Genomic DNA, 26,823 nt, shown 5'->3' on the forward strand with positions numbered 1-26,823 from the left:
AGGACCACAGTGAATAAAATAACATTTACCTGGAGTTTCATTCATCAACATTCTGTCCCCAAGAACCTCTTTACATGTTGGGAAGAAGAGAATATTTTCCTCTTTAATTATAAGATAACATTCATATTCATCTAAGGAAGGGTCTCATCTCAAGCAAAACCTAAACATAAGTTTCCCTGGAGTACTTAGTATAAAGAGAGAGACAAACATATCAGCTATCTGATTATGCAGGACCCACACTGGCCTGGCTGGTCAGTTTTGTTTAATGTTAAATAAGGCCACAGGCTCTGCAGAAAACTTCTCTGCAAGCTCATCTAGCAGTCAATGTCATTTCCTGTAATCTGGCAAATCTTGAGATAACCAGAACTTTCTGAATAAACTTTGCTTTAAAAATTGCATAGTCCACTTTATAAATCTAATTCCAAAAAAAAGACACTGCCTTCATCCTAACCAGCTTGTAGGCAAATAGTGTGATTGAAAACACATTCATAATTCAACATGGTTAAATGCCAAGGGCCAAAGAGATAGCACCTCACTGGCCAGTGTGGAGTGGGATGACATTCATAGTTGATTCAGCTCCTCGAAACAAGCTGTGTAATTGGAAAAACCGAGAGAAGTGACCTCAGCTATGTGTCCTAGTGGTGTCAAAATGCATTCCCATCAGTCTGACAAGTGGCCAGTTAGGAAGGTTCTTTTGAATCAAAGCAAAAATGGTAAGTCACAATTTTCAAGATTTCTGGAAATGCTGGATATAAAATGAGAAGACTAGAAGAGAATCTTTCTCAATAATAATCATAAACAGAACTAGTATTTCTTTATAGCTCACAAAGTTCTTTCCTCTATATAATCTTATTTGAGTCACATACTATATGAGGTTAAGGTAATTATATACATTTTCTGATGAGGAAGCTAAGGCAAGAAGCATTTAAGTGAGAAGCAGTTTAGTTTGGTGGTTTGAAACAGAGGATTTGGTGTCTGACCTATTAGGTATAAGTCTTATCTCTACTGCAACCTAGAAGGGAGAACTGGGACAAATTACCCAGAAGACTGAATGGTGACAAATCACCTAATATCTCTGTTTCCTAATCTGCAAAATGTTGATTAAAAATGGTCACTCTGCCATCAGGCTGTTGTGGGGATTAAATAAAACACTGCCTATAATTCACTTACCTCAGTGGATGGCAAGGTACATTTTAGCCTGTAAGTGCAAGGAACATTTTAACTGGTTCTACCGACTGTTAAGGTCATACAAGCCAAAGATAAAAACTTCAAATAAGACCCACATTAAAGAACTCGCACTTACTGATTTCATATCTTTGTCTCTTCTCTTCACATCATTCTTCATTTTAAGTTGTATAATACTCTTCATTTAAATAATAAATATTCAACTAACACAAATGCAGTGATCCTCTGGTATGCCCACAAAATTATTATGAATGCTTAGAAAGATTTTAAATGTATAATATTTATTGCACAAAACCTTGCAACCTTGTATGCAGTTAAGTCATATGCATATGAGAGAAATTTAATCACAAGGCACATTGAAGCCTCAGGTGAGTCATACTCAGAATAGATGCCACTGAGGTCCAGGAAGAGAAGACATATGCACTGAAATAGGGATGAAAGATTTTTCTCATAGCTATTTTTGTACTGTTTTTTGGATTGATTTGTAAGGATATATGGATAGACTAAGCCTTAAAGTTCCAACTTTGGTGATGAACGACAGGAAAAGCAGCTAGCGTAAAGGAAGGGACAAGTCAGAAAAGAACTTGGGAAGAAAGGTAAGAAAAGGAGAATTCACTGGGACTAGGGGTTAGTGACGTTGTGTTGGAAGGGATGTGAGACCAGACTGGCAAAGTTGGGATCAATAGGTTGGAGGCTTTGATGGTAGTGGCAGTGTACTCTCCCCAAGTCTCCTTGGTGAGTTGCAATATATTTGTAAGTGGACTGGTTCAGGGTTAAGTGATTTCTGTGGGACTGGAAGAGGCTTTATTTCATTCACTGTTTACTGATATATAGGACCATAAAATCCATGTCCATACCTAGCTCAGTACCAAACTCTAATTTGATCTTTGGCTCAAAATAAAACTTTGTGGGTGTGTGTGGGTGGGAGGAATGTATGTTTCTTTCCAGGAACAGTTTTAACTCTGATCCTCCCATTTCCTGCAATTCATTGCTCATGGAGCTGGCCCTAGTTTAGGGAACAGCTGGGAAGCTGGCTGCCTAGACTTCAGGCCACTATTGACTACAAGTCTTCCAGCACAACCAGATTAATGGAATTGGGTACAACTATAGTAGGTTGCAGTAATTAATCAATTTTATTTTACTTTACATACTTGCAGTTGAGGCTTTTGCACTTAGTATGCAAATTTATGTAAATTAAATTCAAACACATGCAAACTGATATGCAAATATGTGTCCCTAGATTTGCTAGGGAAAAAAAATCTGGTAGCCCTACTGTAAGTTCCTAAAATGCAGTTGGGGGAAGGGAGAAAGAAAGAACTTGAACTACTCTTGCAGCTTGATCTGCCTTTCATTTGTTAATATATGCAAGTTGAAAATGAAAATAAAAACATGTTTTACTTCAGCTGCTCCCTATGTTATAAAATAGAAAGCTGAAAATCTGCAACAATAACAGGAACAAAATCTGTGAGTCTCCTCCTTGAGATAAGAATTCCAAAGTTTTATTTATTCCAAAATCATCTGCCTTTAGGCATCGTGTCTCGTAAGTGTAGGTTTCTTACTTTTAATTGATCAGATTGAAGCTATAACTAAACCCAGAGGAAATGCTCTTAGAACCCTGAAACACAAGGCTGTATAATGTGAGCTCTGAGTTGTAGATAAACTGCTCAGAATCCACAATAGAAGTTGAAGAGAGTGGGAAGAAAATTAAATAATGAAAAAATTACAATTTGATTCATTCATATTGAACAAATGTTTTCTTTAAAAGATTATTATTTCTAAGTGAGCTCAAGTTAAGGGACAGGAACATATTCTACAAGCATCAAAATGGAAACTTTCTAAAGAAAAACACAGGTCAGAAACTTAACTTAGAATATATTACAGTAGAGGAGATGATATCTGGTACTTGCAATGTTGCATATGACAGATATTTGCAAGCAGGTCTAATCATTGAGAAAACAGTAAATGAATGAGCAATAAATACTAGAATAAGCACTGGCCCAGGCATTTGAAGAAATGGATTTACCGTTGGCCCTGCTATGACATATGGCCACATAAGGAAAGTGGGTCTTAATTTTCTCATTGGTAAAATAAGATAATGATAATTGCCTGACCTTTTCCAAAGATTGCTATGCCTTTCAAATGAAAAATAGCAAAGTACTAAATAGATGTTAATTACTTTTACAGAAGTTTATCTGTGGTCATTGCCAAGTTTTCCTTTCTGAAAGGCCTTTAAGCAATAGGGACTTGGTTATGGATTCAATCTGATCAACTAAAGATTAAAAAAAACCTGCATAAGAAAACTGATTTCTCAAGACAGATGATTTTGATGTAAGTAAAACTTGGAACTATGTCAGTAAGGAGACTCACAGTGTAATGAAGTAGTAAAAGGAGATCATTTTCCAAATTTGTGATCATGTTCTCTTGTGTACAATGAGACTACCTGGGATGTGAATTAAATGGTCCTTCAGGCTCTCAGATTCTGTGATTCTAGTGCCTACAGCCTCCTGTCTTGATACCCAAGAGTCTCCCTTTTGCATCTCAGGTCACCCTACACTGGGGGCCTTTTCATGCCTTTGCCATATATTGCTTTTTAGTTGCCACCAATTCTTGGCACAGTGTTCTTCTTGTCAGTTGTTGGATGAAGGCATTTGTGCCAAGGAATGCCAATTTGTTAGTCATTTTAAAATTTTTATATTGATTAAGTATTGACTATGAATATAGTTGGATATTTCATGTAACTAAAATACAATCCTTGAACATCAAAACTTAAAATCTTTAAATTGTAAATTTAAAGTGTGGGAAAGGAGACATATTTATATCCACCAAATCTAAAGTTGCTCTCTGTTACTGGGTGACAGTAGAAATGTGTTCTGAGATCAGAAATAAAATATCTACAATGGATGACTGGACATGGTGGCTTACACCTGTAATCTCAGCACTTTGAGAGGCCAAGGAAGGAGGATCACTTGAAGTCAGGAATTTTATATCAGCCTAGACAATATAGTGAGACTCCATCTCTACAAAAAAATTAAGAACTTAGCCAGATGTTGTGGCACAGGCTTCTGGTCACAGCTATCAGGAGGCTGAGATGAGAAGATCACTTGAGCCTGGGAAGCCAAAGCTGCAGTGAGCCATAACTATGCCACTGCACTACAGCCCTATAGTCTGGAGCCTGGGCAACAGAGCAACACACTGTCTAAACCAAAAAAAAAGAAAGAAAAAATAAAAAGAAAATATATCCAATCATCTCATACCATCTCATACAAGTTGGAATGGCAATTATTAAATAGTCGAAAAATAACAGATGGTGGTGAGGCTGCAGAGAAAGGGGAACATTTATACACTCTTGGTGGGAGCGCAAACCAGTTCAGCCACTGTTGAAAGTAGTTTGGAGATTTCTTAAATTACTTAAAAAAGAACTACCATTTGGCCCAGCAATCCTACTACTGGGTATATACCCAAAGGAAAATAACTCATTCTATTAAAAAGACAATTGCACTCATATGCCCCTTGCAGCACTATTCACAATGGCAAAGCCATGGAATCAACCTAAGTGCCTCTCAACAGTGGATTGGATAAAGAAAATGTGGTACATATACACCATGGAATACTACACAGACATAAAAAAGAAAGAAATCATGTCCTTTGAAGCAACATGGTTGCAGCTGGAGGCCATTATCCTAAGTGAATTGACATGAGAACAGAAAATCAAATACCACATGGCCTTATTTATAAGTGGGAGCTAAATATTAAATACACATAGACATAAAAATGGGAAAAATAGGCACTGGGGACTACTAGTCAAGGGAGGGGGATATGGGGAAGTGGGCTGAATAATCACCTATTGGGTTCCATGCTCACTTCCTGGGTGATGAGATCATTGGTACCCCAAACCTCAGTGTCACATAATATATCTATGTAACAAACATGAACATGTACCCGTTTATCTATAATAAAAGTTGAAATTTTTTTTAAAAAAAAATGCAAATAAAACCATACCTAGGCAAAAGCACAACAACAACAACAAACAAAAGCAAAGAAGGATATAGGGAATTTTGTGATGAGGAGGTACTGGGGCAGCAAAAATGAACCCAGTTTAGAATTTAGCTTCTTGTAGAGGTGAATTAGTAGACATGTTTCATAGGGTATAGGAAAAGTCAAGCTAGAACCTGGGGAGAGAAGGGATGGCTTTCCCAGCATAGCAGTGTTAGCCGAAATCCCAGATGTGAGTGAGTTTAAGAGTGGCAGGGAGAAAAGAGGCGGTTCACTGTCACCTCTAGGAATGCCTTACTGCAGGATTCCAGGAAGGGGCAGACACTTAGCAACTGGAAAGCAGATGAGATTGAGTAGACTAAGGTGCTGAGGAATCAGAAAAGAGTTTCAAGAAGGTTGGGCAGAGAGGCAGTGGGCAGTATTTTCATTAGTATGTAATACAACAGGCATGTTAAGGATGACGTATATTCAGCAGTTATCAGGGGAACCATCCCCCAATATTTCAACGTAGGTGCTTTCTATTTTCCCTAAGTGTCGGCCCATCTGAGAAATAAAGAGAAAGAGTACAAAGAGAGAAATTTTACAGCTGGGTCTCCAGGGGTGACATCACGTATTGGTAGGACCGTGATGATGACCCGGATCTGCAAAACCAGCAAGTTTTTATTAGGGATTTTAAAAGGGGAGGGGGTGTACGAACAGAGGTAAGTCACAAAGATCACATGCTTCAAAGGGCAATAAGATCACAAGGCGAAGGCAAAATTAGAATTACTGATGAGGGCCTACGTCCCACAGTGCAAGCGTTGTCTTGATAAATATCTTAACAGGAAACAGGGTTCGAGAGCAGAGAACCAGTCTGACTAGAATTTACCAGGCTGGAATTTCCCAATCCTAGTAAGCCTGAAGGTACTACAGGAGACCAGGGCATATTTCAGTCCTTATCTCAACTGCGTAAGACAGACATTCCCAGAGCGGCTGTCTATAGACCTCCCCCGAGGAATGCATTCCTTCCCCAGGGTTATTCCTTGCTGGGAAAAGAATTCAGCGATATCTCCTACTTGCACATCTGTTTATAGGCTTTCTGCAAGAAGAAAAATATGGCTGTCTTATGCCCGACCCGACAGGCAGTCAGACCTTATGGTTATCTTCACTTGTTCCCTGAAAATTGCTGTTAATCTGTTCTTTTTCAGGGTGCACTGATTTCATATTGTTTTACAATTAGATTTCATATTGTTCAAACACACATGTTCTACAATCAATTTGTGCAATAGTGGTCCTGAGGTGATGCACATTCTCAGCTTATGAATAACAGGATTAAGAGATTAAAATAAAGACAGGCATAAGAAATTATAAGAATATTAGGGAAGTGATAAATGTCCATGAAATCTTCACAATTTATGTTCAGAGATTGCAGTAAAGACAGGCATAAGAAATTATAAAAGTATTAATTTTGGGAACTGATAAATGTCCATGAAATCTTCACAATTTATGTTCTTCTGCCTCAGCTCCAGCCTGTCCCTCCGTTCGGGGTCCCTGACTTCCCACAATGAGCAGTGAGATCCAAGGCTGATACCAGGGATAGGTCCTGGATCCGATATGATACAACCACTAAACATAATCCTGTGGAAACTATGAAAAAAGTGAATTTTTTGAATGGTGCTACATTAAGTGAAAAAAGTAGGTACACTTGTTTTAAAGGATGCCAATTTAAAGGTGAAGGTAGAGGGTAGAGAAGTATTTGAAAATCTTCAACAGTAATTATGTATGATTAGTAGAGATCTGAGTGATTTCAGCCCCCTCTTTTACATTTACATTTTTGATCACATTGGCTCTGCAATTGATTAGTGTTGCTGTTATGTATTGGTACTTTGATTTTTGTTAATGAGAAGAGAACAAAGACTTTAAATGAGAAATTCATTTTAAAAAAAGGTTGAAGAACTTCTAGCATATTCCTAGGGGAAGGAAGATTTGCAGTGGGTCAAACCTAAACTTGCCTTTTTATTTTGCACAGAGATGATTTAGTTTAAGCAAAATATCATCTATCATGTTGAATTAATGTTGTTAATTTGCATTTTGCTTTGTATTTATTTAGTCTTCCTTTTATTTTACACTTGTGTATGAGCTAGACATATGAAATGTGTACCTAGTTTGGTGATAGTGAGATTCTATGACATATGTATATATGATATAATATTCATATTTATTAACATATATGTATTATTTTTTCTTTAACACAAAGCCCTGACTTGCTTAAGTTTGATAAAACACTGCTATGTTCCTGAGCTACTAAGGATTTGAAATGTGGCTGGTTGCAATTGAGATGTGGTATAAGTATGAATAGACTCTAGATTCCAAGGAATTTTTATTAAAAAAAATTGAATTAATAATTTTATATTAATTCCACATTGAAATAACATAGTATTTGAATACATTGGGCTGAATTATATATGTATTGTGTGTGTGTGTGTGTGTGTGTGTGTGTGTGTGTGTGTATATATATATATTTTTTTTTTTTTTTGATACAGAGTCTTGCTCTGTCGGCCAGGCTGTAGTGCAGTGGCATGATCTTGACTCACTCCAACCTCCCCCTTCGGGGTTCAAGTGATTTTCATGCCTCAGCCTCCTTTGTAGCTGCGACCACGGTTGTGTACCACCAAGCCCAGCTAATTTTTGTAATTTTAGTAGAGACAGGTTTTCACCATGTTGGCCAGGCTGATCTCGAACTCCTGGCCTCAAGTGATCCACCTGCCTCAGCCTCCCAAAGTGCTGAGATTACAGGTGTGAGCCATGGCACCCAGCTGTAAATTACATCTATAAAATATATATAAATATATATAATATATAAAATTTATAAAACGAATTTTACCTATTTTTGAAATATTTTTAAATGTGACTACTAAAACTGAAATTAAAGTTCCATGTGTGGCACTATGACTTTCCCACTGGCCATGCTGGTCTGTAGTATATACTGCCTGGCAGCTGGGCCTGCCTGCTGCTGACAACCACTCTGTATTTGCTGTTTCTTTGAGATTCAGAGGCCAAGAAACAAAAATGTCCTGGCACTGAGACACAGATGGAGAAGGAGCTTATGGTGGCCCCTCTGGCCACAATCTCTGAGAAGATTCTTCTGTGCACAAATCAAGCAGGGCTAGTTTGGATAGCACACTCAGTACTACTTGGCAAGCAAAAGTTCCCGACAATGTGATATTTGTGAGTAAAGAACACAATTCATATTAGCTTAGAGGTTTACTATGGGTATTGGATTAACAGAAGGGAGAATATTAGACTCTTTTCACAAAGCTTCCAAGAGATCTTTGTAAAGAGTCTAATATTATCCCTTCCTTTTAACGTTCAGATTATTAGTTTTAGCAATAATCTCTTCCTTTTAACATCCCGATTACTTGTCACTGCCCAACTAAATCTGACCAGTCCTCTAAGGCCGCATTGAGTCTCATGTTGCCCTGAAAGACTTTACCTTCCAGAAGTCCCACACAATTCAGGGGCTCACTTATCTTCTGCACCAGAAATTCTGCCTTAGTATTGTATTGAAACCCTGTGTGTGTTAGCTTACCCAACAACCCACCCATTCAGAGGAGGGAAGTCTGGTGTCCTGGAGCCTTCAGCACAGGATTGGTTTTCTGCTTTTAGTGGGCACTGAATCAGGTGTATTTTTTCAATAAAATGAAGGTTTATGCATACACACACACACACACGCACGCACTCATGCTTTACAAGGAAGAATGTACATATGTAATATCAATTGATAGGCAAGTGCATATTAAGATAATGAACTTAAGCAGAAATATTTTACATCACTTATAATCATTCAGATTAATTCTCTCACAGGCATCAAATATTCTACTTCCTATCGGACATAAAAAGTGCTAGTAAAACAAACTATCTTATACGTATCTTCTTTGGCTGAGCAGGAGGTTGTTATTCGCTATGTACAACTTCCTTAGTTTCATCATCCAGAATCACCACAGTCCACTCCAGTAAAAATTCTGGTTTGGACAAAGGCCAAGAATACTTAAAAACAGCAAAATAAAACAAAAACATAATAGCAAGTTAAAGAAAAAAAGAATTATAGCATAACATAATATTAAAGACTGTTAATTTCCTCAAATATGTTTTATTATTTGCTTTACAAATGAGATATGACCTCAGACATTTTTAAATAAGTTAACTGCTAGCATCTCCTTTAGGAAAGCCAATATCAGATAATAAAATTCTGAAAATGTCCTTGCATATAAATGTCTAATGTTCTCTATAAATTCTAGAGTAAAGGGCACCAGGACACCCTTATGCCCTCATTTAACCTTTATCACCTACTTAACAGGATCGGTCTCCAAATATGGTTACATTGAGGGTTAGGATTTCAACATATGGTTTTTTCTCAGGGGATACAAACATTCAGTCCACAACACCTTGTGGTACAAAAACCCTGCCTATAAAATTTCCAATAATGAGAAATAGGTGAGTGGGCATTCAGGTATTAAAGGCAACTTTGGTTGCTCCTCTGAGTGGCACATTTCCTGAAGATACCACGGGGTAGAAATATGAGCAATCAGTTATAACTTGGGAGCCACAGGACAGCTTAGCCACAAACTGCTATGGGACCCTAAGAATATCGTCAGTTTCTCTGGTCTTAATCTCCTTATTAGAAACAAGGAGGCTTTTTTTTTTTCTTTTGAGATAGAGTCTCACTATGTCACCCAGGCTGAAAGGAGTGCAGTGGCTTGAGCATGGCTTACTGCATCCTCAAACTCCTGGACTCAAGTGATTGTTCCACTTCAGCCTCCTGAGTAGCTGGGACCACAGGTGCATGTCACCACACCTGGCTAATTTTTTGTATATTTTGCAGAGGGCTTTCTTTATGTTGCCCAGGATGGTCTCGAACTCCTGGGCTTGAGTGATCTGTCCACCTTGGCCTCCAGAGTTCTGGGATTACAGGTATGAGCCACTGTGCCTGGCCCATTTTTGCTTTTTAACTAGTAGGTAAGGAGAAGGAAAAGAGGCAGGAAATAAAGGAAAAGAAGAATCTTCTTTATTTTTTCTGTGTAAGTGTGTATAGTTAGCCAGGGGGTGTGAACATGTTTTAGTGGATACATTTCTTGCTAATGTTTGTAATATTTACATGCCAGATTTGCAGGCAGAAAACCAGGTGTTCCTGGAGGGTTTTGCCCTTGTGCCATGATCAAATGGCTATTTTCAAGAGATCTTCAGCAGTCCAGTGTCTATTTTTATAACCACAGCTTGGAAAGGCTATGCAAAATTAGACAAAGTATCCACAAAGGAGTTCATCACCTAGTTAACACTTGAATAATAATGCAGACAACATAGAAGAAAATGGAAAGGGAAGATTAAGAAGTAAACAATAGGATTACCAGATGGGGCAGACCTCGAAGGCATCAACATTTCTAATTTTTTTATTGGCTTGGAAGAAACACAAATTGAGAACAAATTTCAAGAAAGTTTGCTTCCAAAACACAACCTGATTTTCCTTAGTTGTAAGGAAGACAGCTGCTACACGTGTTTATACTAATGAATTTTAAATGCAAAAGGGAAAACTTCTGAAAAGCCCCCTAACATTACTCAGGAAGAAACTGCTTTGAGTTTTTTTCACACAAAGTTGGAAAATACATTCTCTAATCTCTGTAGATATGTTTAATTTCCTTATGGGATAGCCCAAGGTCTTTGGGGCTTCTTGGGATGTGCACTGATGACCTAGGGGAAGTCCAGTAAGTATGGAAAGAGTGGTCGGTCTCACTCAAATAAAAATAATTGGGTCATTTATGACATGTTATTTGAGGCTTAGTATGATATTTGTCCCAGACTGACTCTAGAAAGCAACCTTCCCTCCTATGGAGACACTAATGAAGAAGAGCCTAAAGTTAGGGGTGTTCTGCCTAAAATAATCAGTGATCCACTTTTTTTTTTTTTGAGAATGGTAAAGCCATTTTCAATTATTCAGAAGTATAAATCCATCTGTCAGTTTAACTTGTGTGCATGAATGGATCATATGTACTGGCTTACTATAACTTTAGAATATAGCACAATGACTGGTAACTACGTGGTGAATGACAGATGTTTGGAGTCCGGCCCAGCTCAGTTTCTTCAAGAAATTATACTGGGAACACTGGGTTTTGTGAATCATCTCTAGTGATGTCGAGGTGTGCTGTTTTGTGGTTAATAGGTATCCAGCACCTGCTCCTTCTTCATTCTGTTGTGCCCTCTATATTATAGAGTCCAAAAACTTAAATATGATATATTTTTCCTTAAAGCTAAAGATCCAGGGAAAACTAAGTTATTTGAATGCAAGGCACTGGAGAGGGATTTAGAAGACACAAGTGAGGTCAGGCATCTTCCTGCTGCTTTGGCTGCCTTTCCCAGTTAGTACGGCTGGAAAGTTGAAGTTTACCTGAAACAGTGTGTAAGTGTCAAGTCTTTAACATCATGGGTGTCAAGAAACAGATGCACCAATGAGTGCTGAAGGAGTGACTCATTTTTCCAGTGTTCAGTCATCAGCTTTATGGTGAATAAGAGCCAGATGGAGCTGCAGTGGCTTCCTTCTTCTGACTTTCTGATTCCTTGATCACATCTGTGGAATAATGTTCTTGGACTCAATTATACCCTTCTCTGGCACTTATCTTTGCTCTCTTTCCTGCAGCTTTATTTATCTAAGTTCCACCCTACTTCCTGGCCAAGACTCACAGGTGAACAATGATCCAACTCTTTTGAACCCATGCTCAGAGTGGTCCAAATTGATGAACTATGATCATGGAAAGTGCTACTCAGGCATGATCCAATTCCATAGGCTATTTTATTCAAAAATAAATTCATTGAGTAGCACATTTTGGGCAGCCCTTATTAATATGGTTTTAAATGAGATAAACAAGGTCCTGACTCTCATGCAGTTGAACTTCAGTGAAGGAAACATACAATAAAGTAGATTTATAAATAAATAGAATAATTTTAGAGAGAAATTGCAAGATAAAAATTGAGCACAACAATATAATAGATACAGAGGAAGGGATTATTTCAATTGTTGGTGATATTTGACCTGAGACATAGTGGACAAGAAAGAATCATATGCAAACCTCTGAGTAAAACACATGTCAATTGAAGGAATAGTAAGTACAACACTCTAGAACATGAACAGGCTTTGCATGTTTGAGAAACTGAGAGGAAGCAGTGAGACTAGAAAGCATTGAATCAAGAAGAGAGTATTACAAGATGACATTGGAAAAATAGTAGGGCCAGGCTACATAGTGTCTTAAAGGCCATGGCTAAGAGGTGAGTTATTACTTGAAGATGGAAAACATGTCATTTCTCAATGAAGAAAGAGATGTTGTATGATTCACTTTTCAAGAAAGCTAGCCTAGCTGCTTGGTGAAAATGTACTGTAAATGTTCTAGTGGAAGAAGGGATACATGTAATGGTACTCTTGCAGACATCTAGGCAATCTGTGATGGTGGCCTGGACCAGAGGGATAGCTATAATGCTGATTAAAAAAACAAAAACAAGAATGACTCTACAGTTTTAGCCTAAGCAACTGGAGGAAGAGTGGTGGTGTGGTTTACTGAGATAAGAAAAGATTTATGATCAAGAAGTTTGGGGAATAAAGAAAACACATTTTGGAGGGGGACAAAAATAGAAAAAAGTATAGGTGGTAACATTACCTAAGGGTTGCAATGACTCAATGCCTACAATTGTTACAGACATAAGCTGGAAGGTAAGCAGCTGTGAGCTCAAATATGAAGTAATAGACACTAATAGTTCTGTTGCCTTGGGTAATTACTTATCTCTTCAAACCTCAGGCTCCTCTTCTGGAAGCAATGATAAAAACATTTACTACAGGTGATGCTTTAAGGATTGGATAACATCATGGATGTAAGTCACATAACAAATGTTTGGAAAATAATCAATAACAGATGTTTGGAAAATAATCAATAACAAATAAAATATCACAGTTTTTTTTTCAGTCCTCATGACAGATAAGATACTCTGAACAACTACCCCACCTAAAACAACTAAAATTTCAGAATACAATATACCCATAGATATTTTAAAGGTCATTTTCAAATGCATTACTTAGCTGGTGGGAAATTAAGGTAAGTTCAGAAGCCAAAAGTCAAACGAAGCCTGGACTCCAGTGAAGGAAGTTTGCTCACAAATGCCAAGGTCTGACCAAAGCCAAGCTTGGTAACCTCAGCTTTCATTTTGACCTTGTGAGGAAAGGAGTAAAGAGGAGACATTATCTAGAACCTATGGATCAAAGGTAGTCTAAAAGGAGTCTTCTGTATAAAACTAGAACCCCAGAGGATTGTAAATAAACCCAGCCTACAGAAAGGTATGGCAAAAATACTCTCCTGGTTTCATTTGGATGCTAGATTGAAGACAGTTAAAAATCTCTCCAAAGGATTTGTAACATCAGGTTAACCATTATGTGAGTTTGTCAATTATGGTCCAAATTTTGTGTGCCTGGGTCATCTAAAACACTTAAAGTTAGACTTTATGTTAAAGTGGTGCAAACTTGGTCTTGGTCAGCTAGGAAAAGCAAAATTGAATAGTCTGTGAGACCATGCAAGTTTAGCCAAACTCAGAGACTCCTACAGGTAAATATACAGTGGATATGAGCTCCCAGGCAAAAATTAAAATAAATGGTAGCTATTGTCATTTTTATGAGAGTGAAAAATATCTGGCCAGACTTAGCCACAAATTTCCAACCCCTACACAGAACTGCTCTCTTGGTCCCACATTTAGATATTTCTCTAGTAGCTCGATAGAAATGATTAAAGCATTGACCCACAAGCATGATTAAAACTTGACCCATGGGTCTTCCTTCTAAGTTTGTGCACTTGCTCTGCCTCTCAGTGAGTCCCGCCTGCAACCATTACATTATGCAACTCAGAATGCTCAGCCTCAGAGTTGATGCAGCACCTCTGCCCTACTTTCTTGTAACAGACATTATCAAATTCTTTCTAAAATGCATTCTTTTCACACCTATTTTAGTTTCCATTGTACACTAATCATGTGGTTCTTGGTCCGTAAGTAATTTTAAAGAAATATCTTTCAAGGAAATGTAAGAAATTCCTGAGGTTTGTGTGGTGAAAAACTAAGCAATCCAAAACATGAAGTAAGAATCAGCTAGTAACTATCCAGTGGCTATAACAGGTTCAATTGATGGTATAAACTGAAGTTGCTTTATAGAACAGTGTTAGCTCTAGAGTTCAGAGGAGCTTCGTATTTTTTGTCTGTAAATATTCATAAAACCCACATCAATTACTGAATTAATCCTTTAGTTAGATTCTCTAGAGAATCACATTTCAACTGCATCTCTTGATGAGAATTTGCCATTGATACTGTCTTAGTTTGGAAGTAGCAATTCTGCCAGCTACAGCTTAAGTTATAAACTGTCTTTTACTGACTCATTTATAGAAGGAAACCACCTTGGGGCAAGAACTTTGTTGTTATTCAGCACTGTTCAAGCTAAACCATTCGTGCTGGGTATACTGGTGGCTCCTTACAGAGAACAAAAAATTAATAAATAAGTATCAGGCCACCTTAGCTAATTCATCTAATCATTCCCATAAATAATTAATTTTAATTTTGTTTAATTAAAGTTATAAAGTGGGCTGAGCTGAAGACACAGTGTGATTGGTTTAAATCAAAGAAACTTCGAACACCACAGACACCCGAGGTGCTCAGTTATCTCCTTACTACTGGGGTACCCAAATGTGCTCTTTTTGTATGAATTTCTTAGGCAATGTTGTTAAGCCATGCTTCATTTTATGACTAAATCACAAAATTTCAAGGATTTTTGGACTTCAAGAAGTTCAAAAATAAAATATTGATTTGACTGAAAGATGAAAAGACTTCTACTCACACACAGATTTGGACCTTTATCAGTATTTTCTATTGTCTGCATCTAATTAGAAAGAAGGTTTCTCCAAAGCCAAATTGGGCAGGGTGAGAGCCAGTGCTTGAATAGATGCCCAACCATTACTAACAGTTCACGTTTTTAATGAGATATGTATGTTCTTAAGTATTCCCTTTTTCTCAAAACACGGTTTTCTGTGTGGTCTATTTTTGGACCAATCTATACCAGTTCTTGCTATATCTATACATGGAGAAACACTTTTACATTATGAAGATATTATCCTTGAAGTCAAAATAGCTGATGCCTTCTATTTAACTATCCCTTTATGTTTTCCAAAGGACTTTTCTTATATGACCAATTGTTTTAAGAGCATCTTAATGTTCCTGGTTCCAGTTAGTATACATTCTTGGACAAAGAATCACAGACAAGATAAGTGGAACCCAAGCAGGCAGTTGCATTAGTAATTTGACTGACATGCTGGCTCTGTGAATCCAGCCTTAGCTGCAGCATTACCTCTCGCTCTTCCCCAGGAGTGTCAGTCTAGGGATATTACTTTCCAAGAATGCTTCTGTGTCCCTTCCTTAATTCCAGAGTTCAAGGTTGCCTTTCTCTTCTGCAAGTTGTCTGAAATCACTAGATACTAGGTTGCCTTCTTAGTCAAATATCAAGTCCACTTCTCTTCCTCACCAATACATTACCTTTTACCTCACCAGTCTCACAAAAACAACCATTTGTGGCTATAACACACACACACACACACACACACACACACACACACACACACGTGATTTGGATGACAAACATGGAATTTTAAGTATAGGCTTCAACTTTGCCGTCCTCTATATATGCAAATGGAATAAAGAAATCCAGGAGCTTCTGTTTACACAACACTGTTTTTTTAAAAAAGTAGTTTAGACACAATATTAGATAGCATTTTACCTTAATAACACTGTCTGAGTAGATGTTGGTTTGCAGTTGTATAGAAATAAATACTAGTAGAGGCTCTGAGGTGTGGCAGAAATGAACTTAACTTGATATCTTAGTCTTCCATCTGTAACATGGAGCTGTGTTTTGTTTTGTTTTGTTCTTTCTTTCTTTCTCTGGTTTTCTTTTGGAAAAGAAAAGAGAAGGAAAGGAAAGAAAGAAAAAGGACGAAAAGAAAAGACATTTAAACCAGATTACCTCTAAGGTCTTTTCCAGCCCTAATATTCTTTGATCCAAAGAGGAAACACTTTTGGTTCTCCAGGGAATGGGAGACATATTCTTTCAGACGCTCTAAATGGGTCTGAAAGCAGTCTTCTCTAAAATAGTGTCAGTATATTTGAAGTCCTGCCCAAGGGCAGAATAGGTCTTTTATGTCTGAAAAAGGTGATTTTGGTCTAAGCAGTTCCCGAGGCTGGTGCAGCCACCTTATGGAGCATTCTGTGCAGCTGGAAACTCACTTTGTTCCAAGAGAGAATGATTCCTGAAGTGTTTTCTTTATACTGAAATTCTTTTTATAAATTCCCTGATTTTTCCAACCTTGCCCTTTAAAGGAAGCAAAAATAAAACAATAGAACCATAACAGCTGTTTGCCAGAGTTGCACACTTTGGACAGCAAGGCCCTTTTCAAATGCTCTCCAACTCTCTGCTGATTTCCCGGTAGACTTGATCTTAATCACAAGCCTGATTTGGCACAGTAGGTCCTGGAAAGAGAGCAAATCTAATGCAATGTATGAAAAGAAGAAGCACCCTGTACATCTGAGCCACTCCAACTTCTTCACCCCTGGACCCATTTCAACACATTTAATCCTTTTCTTTCAGAGTTCTGCACTTTTAATTAAGTTAAATTCAAAAGGTTGATGGAGCAACTTATTAATTATTAGGTATCGAGGCCTTGGGGATACAAGGTGAGTGAGTGAGGCCCCTGCCTTCAAGAAGTGTATATTCTATTTGGAGAAAATAGCTTTATTACAATAACTGGACTGTAGAATTCTATCTGTAGTGGTAGATATACAACACACAACACTATGGGGATCATTCAGAAATATTCAGATCAGTGAAGGCTACAGAATAGAAATGATATTTAATTTCAAGCCATTGATTCAGATTTGATGAATAAATCAATTAGGTAAAAGGTATTGAATAACTGTTGAACACTCAGCCTAGTTTCTGAAATAGAGCTTAACACATTTCCTCAACTTATACATCATAGAGATAATTGACAATTAAAGAATAGTCAAATACTAAGCAGCATGACAACATTTATGGCAGTGATTTAAGCAGAGAGAGTATTCTAGGCTGAGGAAATTAGAGAAGACTTACCTATAGAGCTGAAGAGAGGAAGAGACAAGAACAAGTATTTACTATCTATTACCATTCTCTCTACTACCTCACACTTGTGCATGTGTGGGTGTGTGTGTGCATACACGCATGTGTGTGTGTGTATGTATACATACAGTGGGAAAGCCTTAAGATGTGAGGGTGACTATGTTCAGAATACTGTGATAAGATTTATATATCTGAGACAGAGGAATACACTGGGGGAGGGCTTGAATGGGGCAAGGTAAAGTACAGAAGTTTGAAATTGGATCTCTTTGACAGAAGGTGTGCATTTAAGGTTCTTGGCTAGGCGTGGTGGCTCATGACTCTCATGCCAGCACCTCAGGATGCTGAGACAGGTGGAATGCTTGAGCCCAGAATTCAAGACCAGTTTGAGAAACAGGGCGAGGCCTCATCTTTAGCAAAAAAAAAAAAAGAGAATTGAAAACATTACCCAGGCATGGTGGCATGTACCTATGGTTCCAGATACTCAGGAGGCTGAGGCGGGAGGATTGCTTCAGCCCAGGAGATTGAGGTTGCTATGAGCTGTGTTCGCACCACTGCACTTGAGCTTGGGCAACAGAATAAGACCCTGTCTCTTAAAAAAAAAAAAAAGAAGAAGAAGAAGAAGAAAATAAAAAAATGATTTTTGAACTAACAGTGGTAATGTCTTATACAAAGGATCTTCTGGCTGGCAGCAGTGTATAGGAAGGGCTGAAGGTAACAGAGTCTGTGGGTGCGTAGGATATGTGGCAATAATTCAGAAACGGAGGATCAGGATCTGACTAGGCTGTTGGGCATAAATGAGGCAGGAATAGAAGGGAGGTATTTTTGCTTGTTTCCTATTTGCCTCAAATGAAATGTAGGTGACTTTTGGCTAGAAATGTGAATACTAAAATATTTTTATCCTCACCACCTGCTTCGCTTTGCGAGTTTATAGCAATGAAAGATGGCATACAAAAGACAACTCTGAAAGAGATGAACAGCTCAATTTTTACCAAGGTCTTTTCTTAGGCTTTAACATGGTGAAAGAGAGAGTTGTAAAAGTTGAAGTTATCACAGGGAGAAAAGAGCAGTAACTTAAAACAATATGCTTAAAATTAACAATGTAAGCTAAAATGTTGACCTTCAAGAACAAATTGCTTCATACACCCCAAACCTGAATATATCCTTCAGTGAAATGCGTGCCTGTCCCAGTCACTTGCAGAGGAACTGGGTGATCAGCAGCAGGAGGTGTTGGTTGGGAATTCAGTCCACAAACTAGCTACCTGCATGCAAATCCCACCTCTGACAATCTGAGAGACTTTCAGCAAGCCCTTCTGTTAATACAGGAAGGTATTACTGGTACCTAGTTTGTAGAATTATTGCAAGGGTTAATATATGAACAGAGCTGGGGAACAGTGCCAGGCATATGTAGGTCTTTTAAATGATAGCTGCTGTGACGTTCTTATTTACTGGAGGTATAATCAAATATTGTCCTAATTCACCGTAAGCCTTTTCCTGCCTACATGCGCTTCCCACTCCTCTACTCCTTGTAGGATCACATCTTGTTAAAAATCAAGTAATATTATTGAGTCCTTAGTATGTGCCAGGAAATTTTGTATGTCATTTGCTTTGCTTAATTACAATAGTCAAAGTTTCTTTGCCACCATAAGTGTACAAGGTCTCAGGGATTTTAAATAACTTTCTCAGTCACACCACTATCAAGAGTTGGAGTGTGGTTTTAAGCCACCTAAAGAACATTCCAAAACATCCCATCCCACTACTTTCTTAGAAGGAAATCTGCTCTAAGAGAAGGCACACGGAAACTCACTTCATTGTTGTTAGACGAGTGGGAAGGCTGCACCAACCTCTGCTGGAGTAATCTGTTTAATTTTTATGGGAAGGACTGAAGGCTAAGAGCTATTAAGAGACAGTGTGCATATGTTCCTTAGAAGTTACATAACTGGAAATACAATATATTTAAGCCATTGGACATGGAACTCAATGCACAAATCGACTTCCAGCCAAACCAAACCTGGAACATCAAATTCTAATATCATTCATTTCTTTCATTATAGAAAGTATATCTCTTTCCCGAGAGAGGTGATGAAATCAGCTTCTAACGCCCTAGTGTAAATCATGTGATTAAGTGAAAACCTAGGTATTTTCAAGAGGAGAAAAATTATGTGATTTTTGCTATTAATAATATATATCCATTAACTGATGACTAGATAAATAAAATGTGGCATATCCATACAATAAAATGTTATCTGGCCATAAAAAGGAAGGACATACTGTTTCATGCTATAACACAGATGAACTTTCAAAACATTATGCGAATTTAAAGCAGCCAGTCACAAAGGATCACGTTATATGATTCCACATTTATGAAATGGACGGAATAGGCAACTCTACAGAGACAGAAAATAGATTACTGTTTGTGATGGTTAATACTGAGTGTCAACTTGATTGGATTGAAGGGTACAAAGTATTGATCCTGGGTGTGTCTGTGAGGGTGTTGCCAAAAGAGATTAAATTTGAGTCAGTGGGCTGGGGAAGGCAGATCCACCCTTAGTCTCATGGACACAATCTAATCAGCTGCCAGTGGATATAAAGCAGGCAGAAAAATGTGGAAAGGAGAGACTGGCCTAGCCTCTCAGCCTACATCTTTCTCCCTTGCTGGATACTTCCTGCCTTCGAACATCAGACCCCAAGTTCTCCAGTTTTTGAGACTCAAACTGGCTCTCCTTGCTCCTCAGCTTGCAGACAGCCTATTGTGGGACCTTGTGATCATGTGAGTTAATACTTAATAAACTCCATATATATATATATGGATATATGGATATATATATATATGGATATATGGATATATATATATATATATCCTATTAGTTCTGTCCCTCTAGAGAACCTGACTAAGACACTGTTTTTCTATGGCTGAAGAATGAAAGGATTGAGATTGTTAATTCGTTGTGCAATGGAAGCTGTGAAGGATCCAAATATGGAGAAAAAGCAATTCACCCGTATTTGTAAGCTACCTCCTGGATCCTTATCAAATTATTAATTGCATGTTTATCATTTTTGTGTAATCTTTTTCATTTTTAAATGGACTTTGACAAGGTCTATGTTTTATAGTTAGACTTACTTTTTTGTGAGGATTGGGGGATGATGGCTAATTGGTATGAGATTTCTGTTTAAAGTAATTAGAATATTACAAAATTAACAATGGCAATGAATGCACAATGCTAGGATATACTAAAAGTTGTGGAGTTGTGCACTTTAAATGAGTGAATTATGTGATACATTATATGTAAATTATATACAGTTTATGTAAATGTTTTAATACAGTTAATAATGTTTTGATTATGTAAATTATGTTTTAATAAAGTTAACAAATTTATAGTTTACTGTATATTGAGCACTCACTATGTATCAATCACTTTACTGTTGAAAGGAGTCAGGGATGATAAAGCGTTGGAAGGAGAAGGCACAAGGAAAGGGCTGATCTTTGGTCCAGTAGTCCTTATGATATGACTGGAGAACTCCAGATAGTTGGAAGGGGGTTGTAGGCATTTTCTTAGTAATCATGATCCCATAGGGGAAGAAAGGGGGAAGACATACTTTGTTTCTTATACCTCATGTCCCAGGCCCACCTGGCTTGCTTTCATGTTCTTTTTGCCTCCTTTTTAACTATGAGTATTCTACATGTGATGCTGTAAAATGCTCTCATTTTAAATCAGCATACCCATAAAACATTTTGATGACAACTGGAGCCTGGCTTTTGTGCTTATTTCCTGCTCCTCCTTTTCCCAAGCCTCAGTATTTCCTCTGGCTCCCATGCCACGAATTCCTTGTATGGAATTGTCGACACTTTAAATTATCTCCAGCTCCACTGCCTCCCATATACTGCTTAGCCAATGTATACACACTTAGTTCTCTTAATCTCCCGCATAAGTAAATTCCTCAGCCCCTTAATCACCCCCGCCACTCTTCTCTGAATCCTTTCCAATGTGTTGACATCTTTCTGGCGCAATGGTGCCCACAGCCATATGCCTTTGGCACTTGTTCCCCTTGGCCTCCCACCAGAAATGGAACTTGGCCGACGTCAGAACAGAGAGTAAGACATATTTATTTGATTTAGCTTCTGATTATGTTCGCTTCTTGGGATGATGGTTGATTACTAGTGATGGGGTTGGCCAAGCACTGGGATTCAGGGCACGTTGGTTGTGGAGATGGTTCATGTGAGAAGAGCAATACCATGTAACTTGTGTTTCTCCCAGGAGTGGTCTTTTTCTAAAATAGATGAAATCGGGAATTTTGGAAAATGGTTATACCTTAGTTTAGCTTCCTAAAGATTGTTTGTTTTTATTTCTGTAGCCTGAATTTAAAATTACAATACAACTTTTCATAGTCTAGAATTTTGGGGTTAGACAACCTTAAGATTTCAATAGGCAGGGGAAGTCTGTCATAGCAGAATCATCTGGGATATCAGCTTTGAACGTTACCCATCATTTCTAGGTTACAGATGCTTTACTTCATGTAATAGAACTGTGAAAAAGTAAAAGGTAGAAATAAATCAATTTATTTGTATTTAAAAACCATCTTCTGGATCCCCACCTCGATAATGATTGTATGAACCTTCACTTTAGGAAGATCTTTCTATTTTTTAGACTTTGATGATGCCTAATAGTTTGTGGAGTCAGAATTACATTTTGGAATCTAGAAATATGATTTCTCTAATGATAAATTAAATAATATTCTAAAATTCTTTGAGAAAGAGAAAATTTTGTAAATAAGGTTTTTGGTAGAGTAACTGTAACTTGTTTAAGATGTAAGAAGTCTCTTACAAGGTTAATTTACACATTCAACCAATACCCCTTGAGGGCCTATAATTTCCCTTGCACTGTGTTAGACACTGGGGCCATGATATGGGTGAGATATATTCTGAGTATGAAATCACATATTATAAAAACATCCACAGATAATTATAAGAGAAGTAAGGATGGAAAATTTTTCTTTGTCTTACAAAGGCAATTATGCATATTTTTTCTTACATGCAGGAGAAAGACACCCATGTCACTCCCAGTGTGTCATTGACAGTGGTCAGTGGCATGAGCTTTGATATGAAGGATTGCATGATATCTAGATCAGTATGGAATGTATGTCTTCTTGGTATAATATTGCACAATTATCACCATTGGCAAGTTAAATCCTATCTCTAAGAGTGACACCAAGAGAGCATATTGCACTTGCTCAAGTGGGATATATTAATCTTGCCAGTGAATAAGGCAGATGTTCAGTCTAGGGTTTGGGGAAAGTAAGGAAAAAGAACTTGTTATTAGTGACAAACTTGTGTCAAATCCAGCTAGAAGTGATGGAATGCAGGCAGATGGGCATTTCCATGAGTAGGAGATATGGAAAGATCTTTCAGCAGTCATCATAAAATCTGAAGTTGTACATTAAAGCTATGGAAGGAAATCAATAAAGTAGTCAGCTACAGGGGATGCTACTGTCCCTTTCTCCTTTAAGAACAGATAATAGATGCTCAGAAGTCAGCAGCATGCCAGCAGCAAACTGATCAGAGAGTAACTTCTTGAGCTGTTTGAATATAAGTTCAGCATTCTGAGCTCTATCAAAAGGAACCCTTAATTACCCTGGAAATTGAGTTTCATTTTCTCTTCCTATGTGCCATCTCCTGTACTCCTAAGCATTGGATTTTTCTGTGGATGTGGAAGACCTCCTGGGGTCCTCTCTTGAGGTCTCGGCACCACCTTCTTTCCTGGAAATGTAGCTAGGCTTGCTCAGTACCCCTTTGCCTGTGTTTTCTCCTTAGGTTCCATCTGTCCTGCCTGTCAGACATCAAAGCACATCTTTACTGAAGATTCAGAGTGCTCTCAGAAGAGCATTACACCATAGGAAGGACAAAGGTGGAAATATAGGTAGTTAACTTGGTCTTTTTCTTAGTCCTCCTTAGAGAAGTTACTTCAAGGTTTACTCTTGGAAAGTGGGTGAGTGCTGTGTGCTCCCTTCACTCTTGATCTGGTTTCCTTCCTCTAATTTATAGACCAGCTCATATGAACAACCCAACCAGCTGGTCACTCCACCAGAAGAAACTCCACTCCCACTTTCCACCATCAGAAAAACTACACACACTTTGTAAGAGCATGCAGTCATCAAGTTTCCTCCATAGTCCCAGAACAAAACAGTAGAATGTGGTGCTGTAAAGCAGGGCTTGTAATAAAACTGTGTTCGAGTCCCACTCTACCACTTACTATCTGGAATCCTCGATTTTCTCATCAGTAAAATGGAAATTATACTGCTTACTGCATATGGTTGAATTGAAGCTTAAATAAGCTCACAATGGAAAGCAGTTAGCACAGAGCCTGGCACACAGTTAGCCTTCAATAAAGCATAGTTATTCTATTATTCCAAACAGTTCTCTGACATTCATTTCTATCTAACAAGATTCTAGGAGAAAAAGGATGCTAAATATAAAAACAGTTCCTCAGATTTTAGTTCATAAACAGATATATGGACCCAGTGTTTTTCTTATATGATATTCGGTTAAGCAATTATGCCATCCAAACATTACTTTTGCACTTAGTGATATTCTCCTTGCAGTGTTGTGCTAGAGAAATGAGTTCTCCCACTAGCAGCTCCTGGTCTTGCTCTACAGGAGCAATGAATAGGGTGACTTTATGTTCTTTTGCTCTATCTGGGGCCTGAATCAATAGCACCAACAAACAAATTATTCAAGCATGCTATCAGAATACCACTTCAGCATTTACTGGTTTTTCTCAATTTTCAAGGAACGGCTCTGATTCTCACTATTTTTATTCAGAATCTCCTCATGATAAAAGGGAACGTAAGGAGGTGACATTTGCCATGTGACTGGTTTGCATTTCTTCCTCTACCAGTTCTTGGCTACTGACTCTTCATCCCATCCCCTAGTCTTGGAGTCTTCATGGCTTCTACCTCCTATATCACTCATAGATGTTTCTACCAAACTGATACCTGGGTTTAACTTTCAGATTATGGCTCTATAATCTCCCACACTAGCCAAACTTTTTATAGGAGCAATTAAGCTTCTGGATTCCTCCTAAAAATGATGTTTAGCTTTGGGGCATTGGGTTAACCTTGCCCAATTTCTGGAAAAGAAAATAGTTCTGAGCTCCTGTTAGATCCCAAGGGAGAACCCCAGAGGTTTTCTTCATCCACGGGGCCAACACAGATTTCTTAAATCTGCACAAGGACATGTCTCCAGTCTCATCCTAGATTGGCTCTTCAGCTGAGCCTCTTTCCACCCTTAGAGTAACCCACTGTCAGGGTTGATAAAACAGAACTGAATAGGGAGCATAAGGGTGGCTGATTTGGCAGATCAGGCACAGGATAACCCTAATGAATTTTGAGAACTTGTTTGTTATTGTGTCTACCAGCCGAGATTCTCCTTATTTAAGAATCTAACAAACACACATACTGACAAGAATTGGTAAAATATTCTGGGATATTATAATTAATTATAAAGCCCATCACTCTGAGATGTGAAATTTATGTATGCCTGTATTTTTCAGGGTCAGGTCTGAGTCATTGGATGGATAAAGTCACCTTAGAATTCCACTGTTCTTTCATCCCTAATATCATCACAAGACTCCCAGTAATATTAATTGGAAGTGACAAATATCTATAAATTTATAAATTCTTCATATGTGCAGAGTATTTTACAGTTTACAATTGCTTCTATGCACAATACCTTATTTGAGCCACACAAAAATCCCTATGTGGGGGTTTTAATGTCCCCATTTTTCAGGTGAAGACAGTTTTAAATTGACTTTTGTGATTTACCCAAGATCATTCAGAAATGGAAAATTCACCGCTTGTCTCTGATTATATATCTACTGCTTACAGTAGGCCTTTAGGTAGGCATATTAAAAATATAGTTTTTTAATTAAGAAGTGGAATCAATTAAAAGAATATCAATTAGTGAGATCAGTTTTTCCATTCTTACATGTCAGTACCACGGTTTTTGGGTTTTTTTTATTACTTGATTTCTTCTTCATTATTTCGTACCTATGAGGCTGTTCAGTACTCTCATTAGTATCTTATCCAAGTCCAATGATTTGTGAATATTGAACTTAAAAGAAATATCCCCTTACCTGACTTTAAATCAGTAGCAGTGCTGTCTCACTTTTCTTATTATTTCCCAAGTGTCCATATTCTATCTCTTTATTTTTCTAGTTAAAAACCAATTTAAAAAGCATTTCAGTAACTCTGCTGTTGTAGAACTCTTGTTGTAATAAAATTAATAATTTAAATTTGTTGGCATCTAATGCTGGAAGTCCTCAGGGCACCTTAATGAAAATAGAAAATGATACCAATGCTGCATCATGCCCCGATGACTACCCCAGAGCAAGATTGGGCAAATGATTGCAAAAAGCATAATTCCAAATTAAAATTAAAAACAACAAGCACATAAGAAAGCATTAGCTTTACTCTGAAGAGTAATGGATTTCAGGTCTCTAGCTACAGATGATGGATGTAAGGGAAGGGAAAATGTCATCTGGTACTCTAAGGCTATATGCTGTTAAAATGTTAAGCCTTTACTGGGCCTTAGAAAATCTCTAGTTTGGCCTCTTCAAATTTATCACCAAGAAACTGAGACACTTTTAGGTGAAATGATATTATTAAAGTTCCATAGCTAATTAGAGAAGATTTGACTGGTACCCAAGCCACCTGATATCAAGCCAGGCAGTTTTCCTGCTGTTCTGTGCTACTCTAGTCTGCTTCCAGCATACTGTCAATCTACTAATTTCACAAAGCTGGAAATAACTGTCCTGAGCAGCTAATATATAAAATAGGAAGACAGTGGGGTGTGACTAGGGTGGTGCAAACAAAGGAAGTGAGGCACTGTTCTCAAGTGCAAACTGTAATATGGGGGGGTGTGGGTAAAAAGCTCAGTAATGAAGACAAATAATATTCTAATGCAATTTTTTTTAAATCAGGCAAAATTAAAGCAAAACAATCATTTTGCATTTTTTACCCCCTTAATTTGCATCCAAGGCAAGTTCCTCCTTTACATTTCCTGTTTTACTGACTTCATTCCAGTATCAGTTTTGGAAATGATTTTCCTTTTTTTATGCCTCCCCCTCTACATGCTAATGCTTTGTTGTTGAAACCAATGCTTTACTATTGAAACTCTACAGAGTAAGCTGCCCCTCCCTTTTTTTTTTTTTTTTTTTTACAGGGGCCAGAAATTTACTGAGGTTTGAAGGCATTCGTTGTGTGCTGATATTAAAATATGTTCACACATTCTTCTCTTCAAAAAGTGTAACCTGATATCTTTCTCCTAGAGTGTAGGCTGTACTTACTAACTACCTTCTAGTTAATAGAATGTGACAGAAGTGACAATGTATGATTTCTGGGACAAAGCCATAAAAGGCATTGAGGCTTCTTCCTTGCTCACTCTTGGATCACTTGCTCAGGAG

At 37.8% G+C, this 26,823-nt stretch overlaps 1 long non-coding RNA gene across 1 annotated transcript; it reads right to left on the minus strand.

Annotated features, from left to right (window-relative positions):
* Window positions 1–21,454: 21,454 nt before the first annotated feature.
* Window positions 21,455–25,628, minus strand: LOC124904338 (uncharacterized). The gene is made up of 2 exons (XR_007066432.1): window positions 25,495–25,628; window positions 21,455–21,634 (listed from the first exon to the last, which is right to left on the minus strand). It is a non-coding gene; the product is annotated as an uncharacterized LOC124904338 (long non-coding RNA).
* Between the last annotated feature and the right edge of the window lie 1,195 nt (window positions 25,629–26,823).

Source organism: Homo sapiens, chromosome 18 (assembly GCF_000001405.40).
Source record: "Homo sapiens chromosome 18, GRCh38.p14 Primary Assembly".
Lineage (NCBI taxonomy): Eukaryota > Metazoa > Chordata > Mammalia > Primates > Hominidae > Homo > Homo sapiens.